This window comes from Homo sapiens, chromosome 5, assembly GCF_000001405.40.
Source record: "Homo sapiens chromosome 5, GRCh38.p14 Primary Assembly".
NCBI lineage: Eukaryota > Metazoa > Chordata > Mammalia > Primates > Hominidae > Homo > Homo sapiens.
The window spans coordinates 133,316,915-133,337,407 of NC_000005.10; the positions used below are offsets into that span (position 1 = coordinate 133,316,915).

Here is a 20,493-nt window from a genome sequence, read left to right on the forward strand (position 1 = left end):
ACCACTACAAGCCAGACTAGAGTGACTGCCAGATGGAATGGGAAATTCTTCCAGCGGAATATATAGCGGCAGCCCCACAGAGGCTTTAGGAAAGCTACCCCCAATTCCATTTTGTAATCACTGGTTTTTGCCTTAATCCTACCTTAAAGGCTGCTTTTGAATACTTGGCCTCCTAGATTAGGGAGTTTTAGTTAACAGGACTAATAAGCCCTGCTTATGTTAATTAGGCACCCTCCCAGAGCTGGATTACTTCAAAACAAACATATACACAAGTCTATGACCAAGAAACAAAAAGAAGCTTTACAACGTTAAAACCGAAGCACACAGCTCGTTTTATCCCAGGCGCGCTTGCTGAACAGCATCAGAACCATGCAGTGTTTGGGGAAGTAAAGCCTGGGATGCATTGCAGCATGGCACAGTTTATCTTGCTGGTGACGGGCTTCTAGGATGGACATCACGCAGGGCAACGCCCATACACTGGGATTGCAGGAGTGTCAGCGGAGAGGGCAGCCCCTCCAGCCCCACTTCCCGACTCCCTGGGGGATGAGTACTTCCAGCGCCTGGCTTTGCTGAATCCTGGAGAATACGCATGGGCTCCTCACTGACCATTCCAGGTTGAAGGCCAATGGGTTGCTGGAGCCTGGGGCTCTTCTCCTTAATTCCAAGGCCAGTTTAGGGCCTGAGATAATATCCCAGAGTTGGAGAGTCAATAGAAAGAAGTGTTAGAGAGCATGAGCTCTGAGGTCCCCTGGGTTTGAGCTCTAGCTCTGCTGCCATCAGGCATGTAGCCTTGGGCAGGGTGCCTCAGTGATCTCATCTGTGAAGCAGAGATACCAGTGCCTCCCACAAGGGGTTGTTACGAGGATTAAGTAAGATGTGCACATACAGGCCTTTGCACCAGCATGGCACCCAGTAAGGGCTCATAACATGATAGCTACTCTCTCCCTTGACATTATGGGAACCACATTTACTGAAGAGCAATCATCAGGGAAGCTACTGGGGGGAAAGGGATGATGGGGAAGTCTGTCTGTCTGTTTCTCTCTTCCTCCCTTCCTCTTTTCCTCCCTCATACCCTCCCTTGATAAGCCTGGACAGCCCAACCACTTTTTCTTGTGCTTGTTTGTATTTCCAGATTTTCTTCCAATTTGGGGTCAATTGATTTCTGTCAGAAACAGATGCCCATTGCCATTTCCTCCTGCATGTTTATTTAGAAAAAAATCAATTGTTGTGTTCAATATAATCAGATCTATTTGCTCTCTGGGAGTCTTCATGCTCTGACAAGAACGCCTCTCTCCCACACCCTCACCTTGCTTGCATCCCTCTTTTGCCTGGTAGGATATTGATTCCTGGGGGTTCTTGGGGCCTCCAGTTGGCAAACCCAATTCTCAAGTCTGTAGAGCTACAGGGCATTGAAAATAGTGGCTTTGTGCCCCTACAAAACTTGATGGGTTTTTCCTTTTTCTGGGCCTGGATAAGGATAAGTTTTGGGGAAGAGGAGGAATAGTTTTGCCTGAGTCTAGCTCCTCACTCCCTGAAAGAGGCTGAAATTTTGTCCTGGCAAATAGACCAGAAGTGGGGGTACAGAATGAAAGTGGAGGTGGGGCCAGCTGCTGGGGTAAATGGAGATGGATGTGTGCCTGTGTGGAGGGTCTGCAGGAGCCAGCATTTCTGCAGCCCCCAGGACTTCCTGGAGTGGGGGGCATTTATACCCAGATACTGAAAAATTGATGTACACAGCAGGTGGATATGGTGTCAGGAAGAGGCTGTACTCAGAAACACCGGTGGACAATCAGGCTCCGAAGAACATGCTGCAGCAGGGCCACCTGAAGGTGAGGACAGGCTGGGTCAAAAGGGCAGGATGCCCCATCCTTGCAGATCCCCCCAACCTTCCTCCTGGACCTTGGTGGGGCGTAAACCACTTCTGAGCTGCCTGCTGCCCTGGGCAAGATTCCTTTCTGGGAGCCTCTTATTTCGTCTCAGGACCCCAGTGGCCAGGCTGGCCTAAGCATGGAGAGCGCCCTGGGAGTTCTTGGGGTCACCAGCTGGCAAACCCATTTCTCAAGTCTGTAGAGCTACACGGACTGGCGTCCCCCTGTGAGCAGGGGTCTGCAGCTGGACAACACCTCCAACACTGGCAGGTGGGGGAAACCATCCAGGTGGGTCTTGCTGGGATGGAAGTGGGGTGCTGCAGCATCCTCCCCAGGCTCGGCCCCACCTCACATCCTCACAGCTGCCTGTGAGCGCAGACTTCTGGCTGCTTCACCCTGGCAACTGCCCAACAGACACCTTCTGGTCAGGAAGGTATGTGCAGGTCTAGAAGTCAATCATCTGGGGGAAAGGGGTGGGCCCTCCAGGTCTCCAGCATCAGCTCCCTGAGCCCACGGTCCCACCCCCTGCTAGGGCCCACACTGTCCAGGCCACTCCCATCCTTTTACCAGTATTTATTTACATACTGTGTGCCCGATGCTGGGCAGCCTCCAGTCCTGGGCACTGTGGGTGCCTGTGGTGGGAGGCCAAGGGAGGGATGTTCAGGATGAGACCTGTAGGAGGAGGAGTTGTGGGAGGAAGCAGAGGGAAGAGCAGGCCAGGAGCAGGACTGCGCGTGCAGGAGCCATGGTGGGGCACGTCTGGAGACTGGTGAAAGCTGGTGTGGCTGGGCTAGAGGGGCTGAGTCAGGTGGAGAGTGAAACAAGACAGGCAGGAGAGGGCAGTGGGACAACCCAGGCAGAGCCTCCAAGGCCTTGGGGAAGTGTGTGGCACCGTACATCATGCTGTTCAAAACTTCCTTCGTCATTTCTTCCCTTTACTGAGGGCACTCCATGCCTGGGCCAAGCTTGCCACTGGGGTCCTGAGATGAACCAAGGGATTCCAGGAACAGAATCTTAAATCCTTCTTTACCCCAGGAGCAACTGTGCTTTAATGAGTTGCAAGAGAGAACTTTGCCCAAACTTAAATCATGAAGTCATTTGTCCGAAATTACTGAGCTCCTCTGGTGCCCGACAGCACTGGGGAAGGGCCATGGACCCTGGAGGAAAGGCAGCCTGATGCTCAGAGCTCTGCTTCTGTGCAGATGATCACTCGAGATCCCAAAGTCCAAACTCGCTTTTTGGGAAGGCTTTTGAGCCTTCATCTCCAAGGGCTGCCCTCTTGGTGGCTCCCTGCCTTCACTCCCTGCCTTTGTCATCCGAATTCCACAGGGCTTGAGGTGGAGTGGGGGAGGGAAAACTTCCTTCCTTGCCTTCTTCCAGCCCCCAGAGGCAGATGCCCCAAAGCTGCAGCCTCCAGCTCAGTCTCCCTGGATAGATTTCCTCCTTCACAGCTGGCCTTGGCTTCCAGGATAGATATTTTCCTAGCAAGGTGTGTCAAAGTCATAGGTTACCAAATTCCAGTTTTATTTTTACATTCCTGCCCCCTGCTGGTTTCACTGTGGGGTCAGATAGGAGTGACTTAGCTGTGTGAAGCACTGGGCATTTTGGACACCACCGGACATGTCTTCAGCTAAAGGCTCCCTCCCCTCTTCCAGCTTCAAACATTTGTCTAATTCTAGAAGAAATACATGCCCATCAGAGAACCACTTGGAAAGTGCAAATAAAAATAAAGAAAAAGAAAATAAATCATCCCGAAATCCACCTCCCAGATGCAGGTGCTGTCAACACACTGCTGGCCAGATGTGAAGCTGGGCCCTCTCCATGAGTGACACTGAGCCCATTATTGAAATGAGCTCTTTCACGTAGTCCAGCCCTCGTCTGCTGTGCGGGCTCCGAGACCTGTTTTCTGATCTTCCTCCTATTCTTCTCAAATTCCAATCATTGGCTGGGCGTGGTGGCTCACGCCTGTAATCCCAGCACTTTGGGAGGCCGAGGCGGGCGGATCACGAGGTCAGGAGATTGAGACCATCCTGGCTAACACGGTGAAACCCCGTCTCTACCAAAAATACAAAAAATTAGCCAGGCATGGTGGCGGGCGCCTGTGGTCCCAGCTACTCGGGAGGCTGAGGCAGGAGAATGGTATGAACCCGGGAGGCACAGCTTGCAGTGAGCCGAGATCACGCCACTGCACTCCAGCCTGGGTGACAGAGCGAGACTCCGTCTCAAAAAAAAAAAAAAAAAAAAATTCCAATCATTTTGGGCAAGAAAGTGTCAACACCCAAGGTTCATGTCTTTCTTATCTTCACCCCAGTCAGCCCTGCCCACCTGCCCAGCAATTCCACACAGGTGACTACAAGAGAGGTGGGGGGTATGGGGGGACCAAGGGGACTTCAGCAGCACTGATCACTGGGCATGCTCCTGCCCAGGGGCCTGGCATTGACTATCCCCCTGGCTGGAGTGCTATTCACCCAAATCTCCACCTGGTGTATTCATCTTGGCCTCTGCTTAAACATCACCTGATGTAAGCTGGCACCCCTTACCTTCATCACTCTCCGTGCCCTGACACTGTGTGTGTTGGGCCTGGCTCCCAGGTAGGGAGGGAATCAGATCTCTCCGGACAGGGGCAGGGTCCAGTCTTAGCCTTAGCCTTGATCCACAGGATACTTTACTCCTTCGGAGGGAAGGTCCCTGGGGTGTGTGGCAGAGGCTTGGGGACCACCCCACTCCTCCCTGGTGCCCCTGTGGGTGATGGTCAAGATGATGTTGAGAATGATAGTGGCAGGCCGGGCGCGGTGGCTCACGCCTATAATCCTAGCACTTTGGGAGGCCGAGGCAGGTGGATTACCTGAGGTCAGGAGTTCGAGAGAATGGTTCGAGAGAATGCCATAAGGAGCCCTGAGCTGGGGCCCGGATCCCATTGCCAGGGCCTCTCTAACTCAGCCTGGGATGGGGAGACTCAGAATACAGTTGAACTTCAGCATTGATTAATCCGGAGGCATGACTCTTCCAGAGAAAAGGTGGGATGCTTGCATATAACCTTGACGTCCATGCCTTGAATGAGGCTCAGCAGGGGCTGCCAGGTTGGGACCCGCAGGGGACCTGCTTCATGAGTGGGCAGGACCGCCGTGATTTGGACTGCACAAGTTTCTGCCCACATGTTTGGAAAGTCATTTCAGTGTTTTCTCTGAGTCTTGCTGGTTTCCAGGTAAAGAGAACTTTGTGTTGTTCTAAATAAGGGGATTTTGTCTTTGCCTTTGTGGTAACCTTGGCTAAGTCAAGCCTTACAGTGAGGTTTGGAGAATTTCAGGGAAGCCCCCTCCATAGCTGGAAATTCCCTATGCTCTGAACACAGCTGCGCTTTCTCATGCTGCCCCACCCCCTTCCTGTCTTCAGGCCCAATCCACCTCGTCTGTAGGAAGCTTGTCCACTTACACACACACACCCACACACACACACACCCCCACACCCACCCACACCCACCCACACCCACACACCCACACACACACACACCCCCACACACACCCACACCCACACACCCACACACACCCACACGGGACTGCCTTCTCCCTCAGCTTTCCTTTCTGCCTGCTATGAAATCCTTTCTGAGTGAGGCTTGCCCCAGCCTTAGTTTGGGCTCCCCCAAAGCAGTCCCTGAGATGAGGATCTAGGGGCAAGCAGCATATTTGAAGATGATCCCAAGAAGTGCTGGAAGGAACAGGAAGTAGACTGGGAAGGGAGAAAAGCCAACAAAGGGTTCACTCATGAGTGGGTTGCCGCCGTGGGCAATGGGGGTTCAATCCCATGGGGTCCTCAGAGGGACTGTGTAGAACACACCGCAGAATTGCTTCACTGAGGTGGGAGGGAGCCAGGATATTTTTCTACTGACTTCCATCCCTATTAGCTGAGGTTGCTCTTGGAGGAATTCACCACCTCCAGCTAGCAGTTCTGGACCTCCCAAATGAGGACTGAGTCCACGCCTGAGACCGGAAAATGTCCTCAGGCTGAAGCTGCAGGTGCCTGGGATTGGATGCTCTTGGCAAGTGTTATGGGGAATCGTCCATCCAAGCTGCACATCACCTCTGGGGTTGACTGAGGGAAGCTGGATGGGCGGCTTTCAGCATCTGCTATGTCCCCTTAATGGGATTACATGTTCTGAGCAGGCAGGAGTTGAAGTGGACAGCTCCCCATGCAGCATTACAGTATGAAATGCTTGTTGAATGAGAGGACCAGAGTCCTGTGGCTCCAGGGCATTTTCATGAAGCTGGAGCCAGGGTGATGGGCTCACCCTATAACAACCTTGTCTAAGGTCTTCAGGGGGACACAGACTTCATCTTAGGCTGCCGTGTCTACCTGATATTAACACTGCTAATGACAGTCACCACAAGGTCAGACAGAACACTGGGTGGAGGATCAGGAGACCACCTGACTTCAGCTGTGAGACCTTAGGAAAGGCATTCACTCCCCTGCCCTTCCTACTCCTATTCCCTATCTTCACATGGGGATAATAATAGCTTCTTACTGCCTTCCAGGGTCATAGCATACAAGGAAATGTGAGGACTTAGCAAGTGGTTGGCGAGGCCTGGGGTCTTCTCTTGGTGAGATGGGCTCAAAGCCCCAAGGGAGGGGTATGGCTCATTTGTCTTTGTCCCCTTTACTGTGGGGCCTGGGACAGGTTGGCAACTAAATCAGTGCTCATGGCTAAACAGAAGACAGAAGATGTCCTGATCCTCTCCCTCCCTCCTGACCGCCAGTGCACATGCCCCATCTGGGGCTTCTTGGGGAGAGAGGCTGCATGTCCTGGTAAGCCTGACACTGACAGCGTCATTGGCAGGCTCTGTGAAGGGCTCAGCCACCTTCCTGCCAGCCTGGGTGCCCTCCATGCCACAGGGCTGGCCTGGCCAGCCCCTGGCCCTGGCCTCAGGCTCCTTGCCAGCACATGCGTGGGGCTCCTCCTGCTCCCAGACCAGGCCTGCTTTGGCAGATAAAATATTGATCAGCTTGCCGAGGAGCCCAGAGTGTGATCCTATTTTCATGTCAGAACTTGGTAATGAACTACATTTATCAAGCCCGTTCTCCATGAGAAAGGTCAGTCGCAGATCCGGCTAAGTTGTTATGACACCTCATTAATCTAGTTCCCTCAATAATTGTCCCTCTTTGAAGATTCTAATGTTCTCTCATTCCCACTGCACTCCCTTCACACAGAGGAAGATGATTATAGCAGGAGAACAGGCACATCCACATTTAATTTTTGAGCAAAGGGAGATAGGTAGCAGGTAGCAGTCTCTGGAATTAAATGTCCATCAAAGAAACACTTTCTATTGCAAAACAAAGGGAAGCAAGGGAGACATTGTAAATATTCCATCAGCCACTTGTGCCCCTGCCAGACTGTGCTCAAAGGGACCATCTTCATTCTGTGGCAGGTGAAGCTCCTGTAAAAGGCGTGGGTGGGGCTGGGAGACTCCGAAGAGTCAAGGGGAGGGAGGCGTTGTGTAATGTGGGCAATGTGGAAAGTGCTACACAGGCTGTCGGGAGCTCAGATTCTGAGAGGGAGACAGGCCATGTGGTCAAGGCCCAAGCCTTGGATCCCAGGGGTGAGGCACCTGCATGGTGGTGGGGCGGGAAAGTGGGCTCTCTCTTGCTGCCCCGTCCTACTCTCTCACTGCAAGGTGTTTCTTCACCAACTCCTTCAGCCTCCCTCGCCTAACACACCAATCCTGCCTAACGGGCACCCTCGTGTGCTGCCCTGTTCTCTCTTGCCAGCCTTCTCCAGCCTTCAATTTCTGTGACTTTTTCATCCACTGTGGATCATCAGGCTCCCTGTTAGACTGTGAGCTCCTCCAGTGCAGTGGGGCCTTGCTTACAGGTGTACCCCCAGCACCTGGCCCAGCATCCACACATAGAAGGGGCTCATTCAGTGTCTGTTACCGGTATGACTGTGGAAGACAGGTGGCAGGTGGGCTTGGAGAGTGGCTACGGCCCTGCCCTGAAGAGGAGACAATCCCAGCCACCCTGCACCATGGTGACGGGTCTGGATCTCTGAAGGGGGCTAGTGCCTGTGTCACCCATCATGTCAGTTCCTTGGGGGGCATGCTGACCATGTGGTACATGTGGCCATGCTCACTGAAGCCCAGACCTCCATACCTCACCCAGTGGGGACAACCCAAAACCTGCAATGCTGTTCCCATGGAGTGAACTCCAGCATGGCCAGGCTAGGGGTGGTGGCAAGGTGGTCTCTGGACACTAGGTTGCATAGAAGTGTGGTGGGCACAAGGCAGCTGCCTGGGAATTGCTTCTGGAGAGGAGGAGGAAAGCTTCTGCCCTCTTGTCTTGGCATTGCTGGTCAGGAGAGCCGTGGATCACCCTGTGAAGAGGCCAGCTGAGCGCCCTGTGCTTGAAACAGCCACCCAGGTAAGGAGGCCTGTGGATGAATTTGGCTATGGCATAGCTTCAGGAAAGACCCTGTTTTTTGCCCCGGCTCTGATCAGTAAATGAACAGAGCCGACCCTGTGGACCATCTGTGTTCTTGGGGACAGCTTTATACACAGGCAGAATGTGGGGTCAAGGTGGGTGGGGGGAATCCCCAGGCCACTATAAGACCACAGCCCCATGAGTCTCCGGGGTGCTGGAATCTCCCTTCTTGGGGTCACTCTACTCTCAGGAGTCCCCCTTTGAAGAATATCCAAAATGTACTGGAGAGGGGAACGCAGGACATGGCTCAACATCATGAAAGAGCTCAGCTGCCACTGCTGGAAGCAATCCCTTTGGGGAAGGGGGCGTGGACCTAGGGGCAAAGGCATGGGGAAGAAAGACTTGCCTGGGTGGGGGATGGTGGGTCTGCTCTGAATGCCAACAAATGGGGTGAGGATCTCTCTTCCCAAACCAGACACAGGCCATCCCTGCAGAAACCACATAGTAACCAGCCACTCTCTGGAGCTGCAGTCACTGGGCTCCAGCCCCTCTTCAACCTGGCAGGGTGGCTAGAGCTCAGATCCCCAAACCTCACCTGAGAACCCCCCCAGAGAGGCCCAGGGGAGAGACAGGACATGCCCCCATCCTCTTGGCTGCCTGTCCCCCAGACATTAGCAACACTGGTTCCCACACTTTCCCCATTAGCCTGGTAAGTCATGTCATGTGCTGCCCCAGCAAAGCTTCGATCTTCACCACCAAAGCAAAAACCTGGCTTAATTGTCTGGCACCCATGTTATATAGCTCAGTGCGGCTGCGTTACAGGGGCCTCAGTTGTGATGTGTCATTCTGAGGTCTATTTTGAAACTGCTAAGCTGCGCAAAGAACAAGCAGGATTTTACTCCCAGCTCTAATTTAGGAGCTGCCGTAACTTTGCTGGAGTTTAGCTTAAGAGGAACAGATGTTTAACTTGATGTAAATTCATGAACATTAACAATCTTTCTGCTGCCATTTCTGGGAAAATTCAATTAACAATAAATGCCAAAACCAATGGGCTTATCTTTAAGATATATTTTAGCTAACATGATGTCGTTTCACTGACAGTGTTGACTGAGCCACAAAACTCTGAAAATTCCAAGAGACTGTTACACACATATGATACAGTCTTCTCACAATCCCCAAACAAACATGGACAGGTGTACTGGAAGTCGTGCCACTTGGTAACCCACTGCCGCTGTCCCCTGGGGTCTGTGACTTCTAAGTGAGTGGGTCACTATCCCCTTCTCTCAGCACCCTGTGGCGGTGTTTATGCCTGTCATTGGCCTAAAACCACTGGCTACTCTAGCCTTGAAGGCCCTCCCAGTGGTCCCAGTCTGGCTCCACTGACTTCCCACTCCCTGCCAGAAAGCCCGCCCGCAGAGCTTGCTCCCAGGTGCCCCACTCCTGGCAGACCCTCTCTTCAAATCTGACTTTTCTGCCAAGGCCCAGTTCCACAGAGCTGTTTCCATCCATTCCAAACCACACACTCTGGACCTTGGCTCTGTGAGCCTGGAGGGGTTTGTCCTTGTCCTATCTCCTAGACTGAGCTTCTTAAAGCAAAGACTGCTCCCAGCATCTTTGTATCTCTTGGGTGAATAACTTCACGTTCTTAGAGAACACTGCTAACAGGGACCTACGGTGGGCATACCTTCACCAGGTGCTGCAGCCTGCCCATGGCCTGGAGGAACTCAGCCTGCCTCCTGTCCCTTCCATCACTTGGAGCTTTCCCTGGAACACTCCTCACTCCTTAGTCCCAACACCAGAACCAGCAATGAGCCAAATGCAGTCATTAGACAGATGGGAAAACTGAGGCCCAGGGTGGGGAAGGGACGTGGCTGGACCACGGGGCAGACTAGTAGCAGATCCAAGATCAGAACCCAGATCTCCTGACCCTGGTCTTTCAACCACATAACACCAGGGCCTCAGGAAACTCAACGAAGAACCTGTTTACTCTGGCTTTCCCTAGAGGAAGCCCAGGACAGGCCTAGCTGAGGAAACGCAACGGTATGGGAGAGCTGCTATAGATTCTCACCTCTAGAAGGTCTGCAGGTCTGTTAGAAACAAATTTTCAGCTTCTAGAAGGGTAGCAAGTATGGGGTGAGGCCCGGAAAGCTGCATTTTAAGAGTCTGCTGATTCTAGCACAGATAGTCCACTGAGCACGCTTTGGGAAACACAGTTTTAGCAAACATGCTTACCTTCCCCCTACCTGACAGGGCTCACTTGGCCACCTTGCTTGAGAGCTGACTGGCTCTCAGGAGGGGCCTGGAAGGGAAAACTACCAGGGATTAAATCAGAAAGAGAAACTGGGTAATAGCTGGAGGGTGCCCGCCTCTCAGCCAAGACCCAGAGACAGAGCCGAGCAGTTCCTTCCAACATCCTGGCTCTTGCTTCCCGGTAAGGCATGGATGTGCTGGTTCCTCTAATTGGGAAACAGAGGCCAGTATAAGGGCTTCAGGGGGAGGAGGGCATGGCTACAGCACTGGGTCTGTCTCTTGTTGAGCTGAGCTGACAGCCATCACAGGCAGCTGAGTTTGCGGCTGAAAGGGTTGGTTCTCTCAAAGGTCACCTGCTGGCATTTGGCCATGCCAAGGTCCTGGGATCCTACATAAGGATTTTGGCGTGTGGGTACTCTAGCATCCAGGGACTGGCTGAGGGAAATCAAGTGGTTACAGCCTCTTAGATTTAGCCCCTCATCCTCCCAGGATTCAAAGAGGGCCTTGCATCAAGGCTGCCAAACTATTCTCAGTCAGTTTCCATCTGGTCTTTTCCCTGGAGTGTCCATATTTGTCATCTCAGCTAATTTTGAATTTTCTAGGTTGAAGGTACAAGGCTCACTTTGGAACCACAAACAGAATCTGCATGTCTAAGGCTTGACATGGCCTTTTACCCAGGGTTAAACACACACGAGGCCATGCAGACCTTGCGCCTGGTTCCCCGGCTGTGCTGCACTGGAGCAGATCCAGCCGACTCCAAGGCTGGTGGCAATATCCACCTCCACTTGCACCTGAATACGCAGACAATGCCTCATCTCAATTTGCACCCCAGCATCAGGTCATTTAAATTAACAAAACCACCCAGACCTTTGTTAGATAAATGGTACATTTGCTTATGAATGCCTGGTTCAATTGATGTTGCTATACAATCTGCTGTCTGACATTTACAATCCTCTCTTTTATTCCTATTAGAGAAAGCAAAATTGGTTGGATCCCTGGGAGAGGGATCCACATATACTTTTTATGGTTGACTGGCAGATCTGTCAGGTGGCCCCAGAGTGAAAGAGCACTGTATGAAAACATGAATAAATGCTAAAGCTCTCCTGGTATTAAGAACTTTATTTTTTACTATTGTGTTAGTGGAAAACCTCCACCAGCTAGATTCCCTAACAGGTCAGCATTCCTTGTGGAAGGTGGGCAACAGCTTCTTATGAACTCCGGCTCCCCCTTTGCCCTGTCCAGCAGCTCAGCCCTCCTCCCACTCTCCCTGTCACCAGCCCCAAGAGCAGAAGCAGTAGTGCTGGACTAGAGGTCAGTCACCAGGCAGGGAAGTCGGAGGGGATATGGGAGTGTGGGTGCCTTCTCCACCTCCTGTTTAATTTTATTAATTTTGTTTCCAAGACTTCCTTGGGAGGCTGCATCCTCCCAAACATCTAACTAAGGGGAAAAGGCCGGCTGTGGAGCTGGCAGTAACTTTGCTCAGCGTCAGCGAGGCAATGGCGTCAGTGATGTCCAGAAATGTAGCTGCTTTGAGCTTGAGCTACTGTGGCCTTTGAGTGGCCACTAGACTGAGTGGTGGGCACATCCATAGAGACACGGCCGGGTCTGAGGCTGTCGCTTCCTCCGCGAGTGATCAAGATGAGGGTTACTGGCTCCAGACTGAGGCTGATGGGTCAGGCAAAGGGAGCACTTAGCTCCCACATGGACTCATCGCACATGCAAGGAGTCTCTATAAACGGTCTCAACAAGGGCAGTGCTGTCCCCAAGAGGCGTTTTGGAATTTTGTGGGGATGTTTTTGGTTGTCACAATGATTGGAGGGCCTTGGTAGCACTTAATGGGTGGGGCCAGGGGTCCTAGCGATCCTGACCTTCACGGTACCATCCTGCACAAAAACTTCTGCTGGCCTGGTGTATTAGTCGGGGTTCTCTTAGAGGGCCAGAACTCAAAAGAGAGAGAGAGATATATATATATTTATTTATTAAGTATTAACTTACACACCTGTAACAGGTTCTGTTTGCAGCTCTCACAAGGTCCCACAATAGACTGTCTGCAAGCTGAGGAGCAAGGAGAGCCAGTCCGAGTCCCAGAACTGAAGAACTTGGAGTCTGATGCTCGAGGGCAGGAAGCAACCAGCCTGGGAAAAAGATGTAGGCTGGGAGGCCAGGCCCGTCTCTCCTTTTCACATTTTCTGCCTTCTTTATATTCGCTGGAAGCTGACTAGATTGTGCCCACCAGATCAAGGGTGGATCTGCCTTCCCCAGCCCCCTGACTCAAATGTTAATCTCCTTTGGCAACACCCTCACAGACACAGCCAGGCTTAATACTTTGTATCCCTCAATCCAATCAAGTTGACGTTCAGTATTAACCATCACACCTGGCATCTCATCTGAATTTTTAAATGTCTCACTCACGGCAGCAAAACATCTGGTTACTATTACTTGAGCCTAGAATCTAATGTGTTACACGACATTCACCCCCTTTGCCCCGGGTTTGGCAAAGGCATTCCAAGGATGCACCTCTGCTGTCAATTGTAGATTCTGTTTACTATTTTATCAAGAATCATTCACCATTTTGGAGAATCCCATCTCTAAAGCGACAACACTTGAATATTCAAGTTGTCAACATAACAGACGTGTAACAGGTTCTGTTTGCAGCTGTTGTATTCTTAGGGTTCCACGTGTAGGTGCTGACATCTGGCCTCCATGAGTGCAGCTGGTGCCCAGATATTTACATACTGAAAGGTTTATTTTATGCTCATCACTTTTCCTGCATTTCTCCTTTTTATCACATTGTATTAGGCTGTTCTTGCATTGCTATAAAGAAATACCTGAGTCTGGGTAATTTATAAGAAAAGAATTGGCTCACAGTTCTGCAGGCTGTACAGGATGTATAGCGCTGGCAACAGCTTCTGGTGAGGCCTCAGGAAGCTTTTACTCATGAAAGAAGGTGAAAGGGGAGCAGGTATCTCACAGGGCAAGAGCAGGGGCAAGAGAGTGGGCAGAGAGATGCCACACCCTTTTAAACAACCAGATCTCGCAAGGACTCACTACCGTGAGGACAGCCGTGAGGGGATGGTGCCAAGCCATTCATGAGAATCCCACCCCCATGATCCAATCACCTCCTACCAGGCCCCACCTCCAACACTGGGGATTGCATTTCAACATGAGATTTCAGGGTACAAATATCCAAAGAATAATACACCACACATATATGGGATAGAACTTAGATATATCCCTCATATCAAATATATGTCATATTTGATGACATGTATCCATTTCAAGATAATAAAGGGGGGCTTTACAAAAGATTTGCTATAAAAAGGTGGCTTTAGGTCTGACAGGGGGTAAAGACAAGTGATTTACAAGAGCAACCCAAATCTGTGGCCTTACTTCTTTTCACACTCCCAGGTACTGTGATTTTTAAAGAACAGCGGGAACAGTGTGGGAGTATGCCTGTGTGTGCATATGTGCTGAAGTGTGAGTGTGTCCCTGTGGTTATGCTGTGGACACACGTGCACCTGTGTGCAAGCTCTGCCAGCATGGTCAAAAACAGGGGGGCAGGGGATTCAGGGTCATGCCTGGGGGCCATGGAGGCTCCTGGCCTCTAGGAAGGCAGCCCACAGCAGCCCCAGAGGAAGAGGCATCACCTCTGTGCACTGGGGTAGAGACAGCAAGCCCCGCTGAGAGGGAAAGCAGCCCCGCATAGGTCCCGGCAGGGCCTTCTCCAGAACTGGGCTCTCTCCTGTCTCTGTTCTCCCAAGACACCCCCAGGCAGGGCAGGTGTGCCCTGAAATAACAGGTGGGGAGACTGGGGCAGTAGCAGTTTCTGAGCGGGCGTCTCACAGGCCTGGCAGCTCATGGTGTTTTTCTCTCCTCTGTGTTGATCTTCAGCTTCTGAGCCAAGCCAAAGAGTCACTGGGTTTTCAAGACAACAAGCAGAGATTCTGGTCCTCTGATGTGAGGGGTGCCTGGACTGCAAATCAATGCCATTGAACTGCAGTCTCCAGGAAGGAACTCCCCAAATGTTAACACATTCCACATTCACCTGCGGAAGGGGCTCCTGGGGTCATTTACTTTAGAAGAAAAGGTGTTACAGGGAAACTGCCTCAGAATGCTCTCAGAAAACGGGTCTGCTATAAGCCGGCGATACGTGCTCTTACATGAGCTTGGCAGGAAATGGCATTTCAGAGAAGAATGACCCAAACAGAGGGTTTTAGACCTGAGACGGCTCAGAGAAATTTCCTGAGGTTTGAAGATTTATCTTAACCTCTCGGACTTGAACGATTGACAGTAAATCCCTGGTCAAAATAAAACAAAACTCCACAACTCTGAAAGCGAACACCAGCCATTTCGGGAGATCTTTGGAGTATTTCCAGGGCTTGAGCCTCTGGGAGGAGAGTGAGAAGGCTCTCCTTCCCCGTCACCTGCACTGCTGTTCTGAGGATTATCTACACGGGAAACTTATCAAAATGTGGGCAGCCCGTGGAGGGAGCTGCAGAAACCCTCATTTCTGTGAAAGTCGGTGCCAGGCGGAACGTGTGGGTTTTTCAACCTGAAGCTTCTGAGCTGATGCGCAGGCTGTGGTCTCAGCTCACATCCAGAATGCAGGGCCTGGCAGTGTGAGAAGCCGGGGCTGCCGAGGGAGGGTTGGCAGTGGGGATAAACAGCAAACCAGGTGTGGGTCCTCCGAGCGCTCAGAAAGCCCTCCTCTTCCAGCGATGGAGTTTGATTCCAGACACATCTCAGCCATAATGCATCTGCACTGCTCACTCCCTGAACACCGGGAAAGGAGCGAAAGCAGCAGCCTGATGGGATTTGGCAGATGTGCTGGCTCTCACTAGACTCACACACTGCGCAATGACTCCAGCCTGCTCTCTGCCTCCATATTTATCAGTTCCCAGAGCCTGAGAATGGCCTCCTGGCTGCCTTGTCTGTCATGGTAATGGATTCAGATGCTTTGAGAGGTTCAGGATCCACAGTTGATGGGAGTGACAGGGACCCTCTTGGATTCTCCAAAGAAAAGTGTACACAGCTCAGAGAACACCTGGGGCCGGAGAGGCGGAGCCAGTGGCCTGCAGCCTGAGGGTCTTCCCATCTGAGATCCCAGCAGGAGCCCTATGCACCTGTGTCCCTGTGGATATGGTGCAGATCACGTGTCACAGAATTAGCATGTTTTGCTTCAGAATGTGTTAACCTGTCTTCTGACTTATGCTTTGAAAATGTGGTTAAAATATTCATAAAGAACTTTCCAGGCAGAAGGGCAAATACTGAGAAATCATCTGGTAAGTGAGGCTCAAGAAATGCCACTTGATGATGTCATGGCTCCTAATAAAAACAGGAGCCATCAGCTAAATAAGCCAATCACACTCTCACCTCCATTTTTGTTTTTACCACGAATGGTGCTCTGTGTTTGGTGAGGATAACACTCTGGTAAGAGTTTCACAAGGCTGGGGTGAGAAACTCTTTCATTTCTTTTGGAGGCTCATGGCACCCAGTATAGGCTCAGGTGCAGAGAGGACACTGGAGAATAGGTCCTTGCACGTGCAGGTGTCCTCTCTCTCTCTGTCTCTCTCTCTCTGTCTGTCTCTCTCTCATGCACACACATACACACACACTCACTCACACTCTCACACACAGCTGTGGATCTGGGTGTGCATCCCAGTGACACTGCACATGTGGCGGCAGCTCAGCCCCAGCCCCATCCTGCACCCTGTTTGCCTCTTGGAGGCTCCTATGCAGCTGGCCCATCACAAATCCCAGGTCATAGTGCCCAGGAGCAGGGATAAAGGTTTTGGAATGATGTAGTCCAGGCTCCTCATTTATTGATTAGGAAACTGAGGCCAAGGAACAGTGAGAGGCCTGGGGCCCCGGGCAATGGCGATGCAGCCAGGCCGTTGCCTGCCTGTCCTTTTGTGCCCCACATTCTTGTTTTGTTTTTCTGCCCATCTCCACCTCCTTTCTCTCCTGCTTCCAGCCTTCCAGCTCTAACTGTGATGGGAGAGGACAGGAATCTCTATAGCACAAGGACCACGTTGAAACCCTGCCCAGGCATAGGGGCCCCTTACTGGGCAAATCTTATTGTCACTAACACACTGGCACATCCTGCCTTTTACTGCCCACAGCTGTGGCTCAGAAATCCAGACGTCTGGGCTGGTCATCTATCTCATCCAGGGCTGAGAAATGTAGGGAACACAAAGATGGGATTTCCAGGTCTTTTAACTGACAGGAATGACCTGTAGCCGATTCCCAGAGCAAGGTACCCTTTGGAGCAAGCAGAGTCACACCCAGCGAGGGCATCTCCACGTCAGGCAGAGGCTGACCTGCACTGCGCAGGGCCTCCTGCATCAGGCAGAGGGTAGTGTCTGAGACTGAAGGGAAAGGAAATCTGGAAAGATCTATGTTGCAGGATGTTCTTCAGGGCCCTCAGACACAGAGCCATGAGTACAGCTGCTCTTGGGAAGGGCAGAGTGAGCTGGACCCCAGCCTGAGCCAAGAGGGCCCTTCAATGCCCCATGTCTGACCTCTGAGGCATTGGAAGGGCCAGGCCCCACCCAGGTCCCGAGGTCTCACCTAGAGCAGGAGGAAGCCTGAGTGCCAACAGGAGATCTTTGTTTTCTGCTCCACAGGTAATTTGTATCGCTTCCACTCAAAAGTCTGTCTTCCTTTGGGCGTAGAGTCTAGAAATGGTTCGAGTTCCAAACTGATATTGCAGCCGAGTTCCAAACTGATAAAGCATCTGAATCCATTACCATGACGACAAGTTCCTAGGTGATTGCTTCAAGTTCTACATGCAGCTTCCAGTCACAGTTGGCGAGGGTCCTGCCACGCTCACTGGGTCGTTCTCTTCCACACTCACATGAAGCTTTTCTTTACCTCATGGCCTCTGCTCTCTTCCCTGTTTCCCCTCTACCTGGGCACCCCTCTAAGTGGCAGTGCTGGTGTTAGCCACCCTTCTGCTTTGTCACAGTCATGCCCTCTCCTCTTTCAAAAGGCCACCTGAGTAGTGGGTATGCTTGGGTGGGTCACACTGGAATAGAGCATGGTGTGGGGTGCGTCTGGGCACTGGTAAGATTCTGTCTTTTGATCTGGGTGCTGGTTACGCAGATATGTTCTCTGTGGAAGTTCACTGAGCTATACACTTATGACTTATTCATTTTCTCTCTGTGTTATGCTTCAATGATATGTTTATTTAAAAAAGGTAACCTGATGTTTCTCAATATGTCTGAAAGACAGCAGTTGCTTTGAGTAGACAGTATTTGTCCTCAGCCAAGCCCAGGCCTAGGTACATGGGGGAGGGGTGGGAAGGTGCGGGGCTCACAGGAGAGGGTCACTGATATGGAAGTGGCGGCAGCTCATCTGGTCCCTGAGACTCTGCCATCCTGGGCTGGGCATCCCTTCAACCCAGGGCTGCCAGGAGGCCTGGGGTCTCTGGGGAGGAGGCTGGGTGGGGGTGTGGGTTTTGCCAAGCAGCCTTAGGAGAAGAATACAAGGCCTAAGAGTCAGGGGATCCCCACTGCCCCAGGGCGTCCTGGCCTCACCCAATACTCAGCTCCCAGAGGTATCTAAAGGAGGCTTAGTCCAGGAGCTAGGACACCTTGGGGTGTCCTACACAAACACTGTGAGCAAGGCTCCCGAAACACCTGGCGGTCTGTGCTGACACGGCACCACCTCCTCATGTTGAAGGCGTGGCTGGCCGTGGCTCCTGGCTCAGAGGTATCGGTATGGAGGCAGGTGCTCAGTTAGTCTGTTCTTGGTGAGGGTTTGTCATGGGCCCTGACATAAAACTGGGCCTCCTTGGAGACCTCTGAGCACACAGGGCCAATGTGTAAGGCCTGAGGAGCCTCTCACAGGCCATGCCCTGGCCTCGTCTGCCCTGCTCTCCCCTCCTAGGCTTCTCAAGGGTTTGAGGACTGAAGTATGGACTCAGGCACGGCTGGGACTCGACCTTCACGGCCCTGGCTGTTCAGCTCACGTGACACAAAAAGAGACGTCAAGGGTCTCCTGCCCAGGAGGAATCAAGATGGACTTTTCTGCCCCTTCCCCTCATGGTCCAGTCATGCCTGACTGGCCAGCAAGCCACCCCCGGACAGGCCCAGCCTCCCTCCCTCCAGGCCTTGCATGGTTGGCCTCCTCTACCTGAAATGTCCCCCTATCAACCCCTAAACTGTCCCCTGGGGACAGCTTCAATTTCTTTTTTTTTCTAGAAAGCCTTCCCTGAACAGCTCTCCCCTCCCCTTTCTTGGGGGGGGTGGCAATCAGAGTCCAAATTCTGCACTTGACTTTCAACATTAACTGCCCTATAAAGCTGATTCTTCCTCCAGCATGCAGTGTGATGCCCACCAAGAAGATGGGCCCTGATGCACCAACACTGGGATCCTTGGGACAGGAAGAGTTTTGCCTTCTGAATTATTATACCCACCACACCCATGAGGGGTGCTTCTTAATTATTTGGAATGAACTAATGGATCCCAAGCTATGTGGTTTGCATTGAGGGAGCAGAGGGACCTCTACTTGACAGTGGGAGATATTTATAACCATTCCAAATATCTGGCTTGGCAGAGATAGGCAACCCATAGCTTACCCTGCTCTGTGAATTCATGAGCATGTGAATTACTACCGGGACTTACTGTAACTCTAGATCCCAGATTGAACATAGACCAAATAGGCACAAGGTGAAGAGCTCCAAACCATAACCACGGGACAGCAGCCCTCATCATTTTGAGGCCCTGGAACTGTCCCTGACCCTTGCCGCATCCTCCCCAGCAAAGCTGGGCTGTCCAGCTCGGGGAGGAGGCAAGGGTGGGGTGGGGAATGAGCACAGCCAGCCCTGAACAGTCCTCATCACTCAACAAACAAGCACTGACCCCACCCTGCCTTCCACTACGCTGAGGTGTGAAGTGGGTGGAGAAGGGGGCGAGGCTCGAGCCCTGCTCTCCAGAAGCCCATGCCCCAGGACATGAGAAGATGTGGGCACAGCTGGCTGAGCGACTTCCCTTCTGGCTGTCTCTCTCCCATCCTGCTCCCCTCTCCTGACCACAGCCGCCTCTGCAGTCAGCGTTGAGTGCTGAGAGCTGTGTGAATGCTCTTCTGTTAAGGAGGGTGAGAAAAGGATGGTACGGATTTTATTCCCTGCCCCCATTGACCCAGGGCAGGGGTGAGAGGCTGACTGATGAAGTCACTGCCTAGACTTGTCATCAGGGCCCCCACATCTTCTTCAACACATCCTCCTGCCCACTCCATCTAAACAACCCTACAGCCAGTTCTGTCCCATGGTTCCCTGCAGGCCTGACCCTGTGTGCCTGTCTTTCTATTGAGCCAGCCAGGTCCTTCATCCTCCCTGGGGCCTTTTCTGATTCCCCAGCCTGTGCTTGTCTCCCTTGAGCCCTTCTAGGCATGTAGCATCTAATGCTTGAGGAGAGTGAGCACCATTTCCATGACCACACTGTGTACCCCGGGGCAGGGGCTGTGTCCACCCCTTCCCAGGCCTCTCCAGATCCATGGGGATGGAGGGCTCGCAGTATGTGCTCAAGACCTGTGACCACTAATGGAATGATGAATGATTTGCCCTATCACAGCAACACACCCCTGTCTCGGGAACGGGACACCTCTGGCAACTGGGCACAGGCCTGTGTTCGGGGATGGCGGGCTGCAGGCCCACAGTGCTCGATTTGGGATATCGTCCTCTCCGGTAAGGCCCAGAGCCCCCAACCTGCCCTTGCACCAGCATGGGGCTGTGGTGGGCAAGCTTACTTCCAGACAGCGTGCACCAGGATGATGAGGCAAACCATTGAGGGACATCATGATTGCATTCTAGGTGGGGGCTTCTTGCACCTGTGACCCAAATGCAAGGCCAAAGGTACATTTTCCAACTAGGAAGCGGGCTGTTAAGCGTCCTCTGCAACGGACTCTTGCCCACACTTTCCCTAGTTTTTAAATGCAGATGAGGTAGAACTCACGGGGGCAGCTG

The 20,493-nt window shown here is 52.2% G+C and overlaps 1 protein-coding gene across 4 annotated transcripts in view, besides 6 other annotated features; it reads right to left on the reverse strand.

Annotated features, from left to right (window-relative positions):
• Positions 1 to 20,493, reverse strand: part of FSTL4 (follistatin like 4) — a 645,613-nt gene that overhangs the window by 120,460 nt on the left and 504,660 nt on the right. The window contains exon 1 of one of the 4 annotated variants that reach the window (XM_011543286.4): positions 17,097 to 17,775. The exons of the other annotated variants lie outside the window; for them this stretch is intronic. The gene's annotated coding sequence lies outside the window, so the exon portion shown is untranslated. Of the gene's footprint in view, positions 1 to 17,096; positions 17,776 to 20,493 lie in introns of those variants that run through there. 4 annotated transcript variants of the gene reach the window in all.
• Positions 2,091 to 2,608: an enhancer, noted in NCBI's record as "H3K27ac-H3K4me1 hESC enhancer chr5:132654697-132655214 (GRCh37/hg19 assembly coordinates)". NCBI's record gives its function as "activates a minimal SCP1, AML or CMV promoter by ChIP-STARR-seq in primed H9 embryonic stem cells {active_cell/tissue: H9 hESC(primed)}" and the evidence as "EXISTENCE:reporter gene assay evidence [ECO:0000049][PMID:30033119]".
• Positions 2,609 to 3,125: an enhancer, noted in NCBI's record as "H3K27ac-H3K4me1 hESC enhancer chr5:132655215-132655731 (GRCh37/hg19 assembly coordinates)". NCBI's record gives its function as "activates a minimal SCP1, AML or CMV promoter by ChIP-STARR-seq in primed H9 embryonic stem cells {active_cell/tissue: H9 hESC(primed)}" and the evidence as "EXISTENCE:reporter gene assay evidence [ECO:0000049][PMID:30033119]".
• Positions 11,095 to 11,802: an enhancer, noted in NCBI's record as "OCT4-NANOG-H3K4me1 hESC enhancer chr5:132663701-132664408 (GRCh37/hg19 assembly coordinates)". NCBI's record gives its function as "activates a minimal SCP1, AML or CMV promoter by ChIP-STARR-seq in naive H9 embryonic stem cells {active_cell/tissue: H9 hESC(naive)}" and the evidence as "EXISTENCE:reporter gene assay evidence [ECO:0000049][PMID:30033119]".
• Positions 11,803 to 12,510: an enhancer, noted in NCBI's record as "H3K4me1 hESC enhancer chr5:132664409-132665116 (GRCh37/hg19 assembly coordinates)". NCBI's record gives its function as "activates a minimal SCP1, AML or CMV promoter by ChIP-STARR-seq in naive H9 embryonic stem cells {active_cell/tissue: H9 hESC(naive)}" and the evidence as "EXISTENCE:reporter gene assay evidence [ECO:0000049][PMID:30033119]".
• Positions 14,745 to 15,268: an enhancer, noted in NCBI's record as "H3K27ac-H3K4me1 hESC enhancer chr5:132667351-132667874 (GRCh37/hg19 assembly coordinates)". NCBI's record gives its function as "activates a minimal SCP1, AML or CMV promoter by ChIP-STARR-seq in naive and primed H9 embryonic stem cells {active_cell/tissue: H9 hESC(naive and primed)}" and the evidence as "EXISTENCE:reporter gene assay evidence [ECO:0000049][PMID:30033119]".
• Positions 15,269 to 15,792: an enhancer, noted in NCBI's record as "H3K4me1 hESC enhancer chr5:132667875-132668398 (GRCh37/hg19 assembly coordinates)". NCBI's record gives its function as "activates a minimal SCP1, AML or CMV promoter by ChIP-STARR-seq in naive H9 embryonic stem cells {active_cell/tissue: H9 hESC(naive)}" and the evidence as "EXISTENCE:reporter gene assay evidence [ECO:0000049][PMID:30033119]".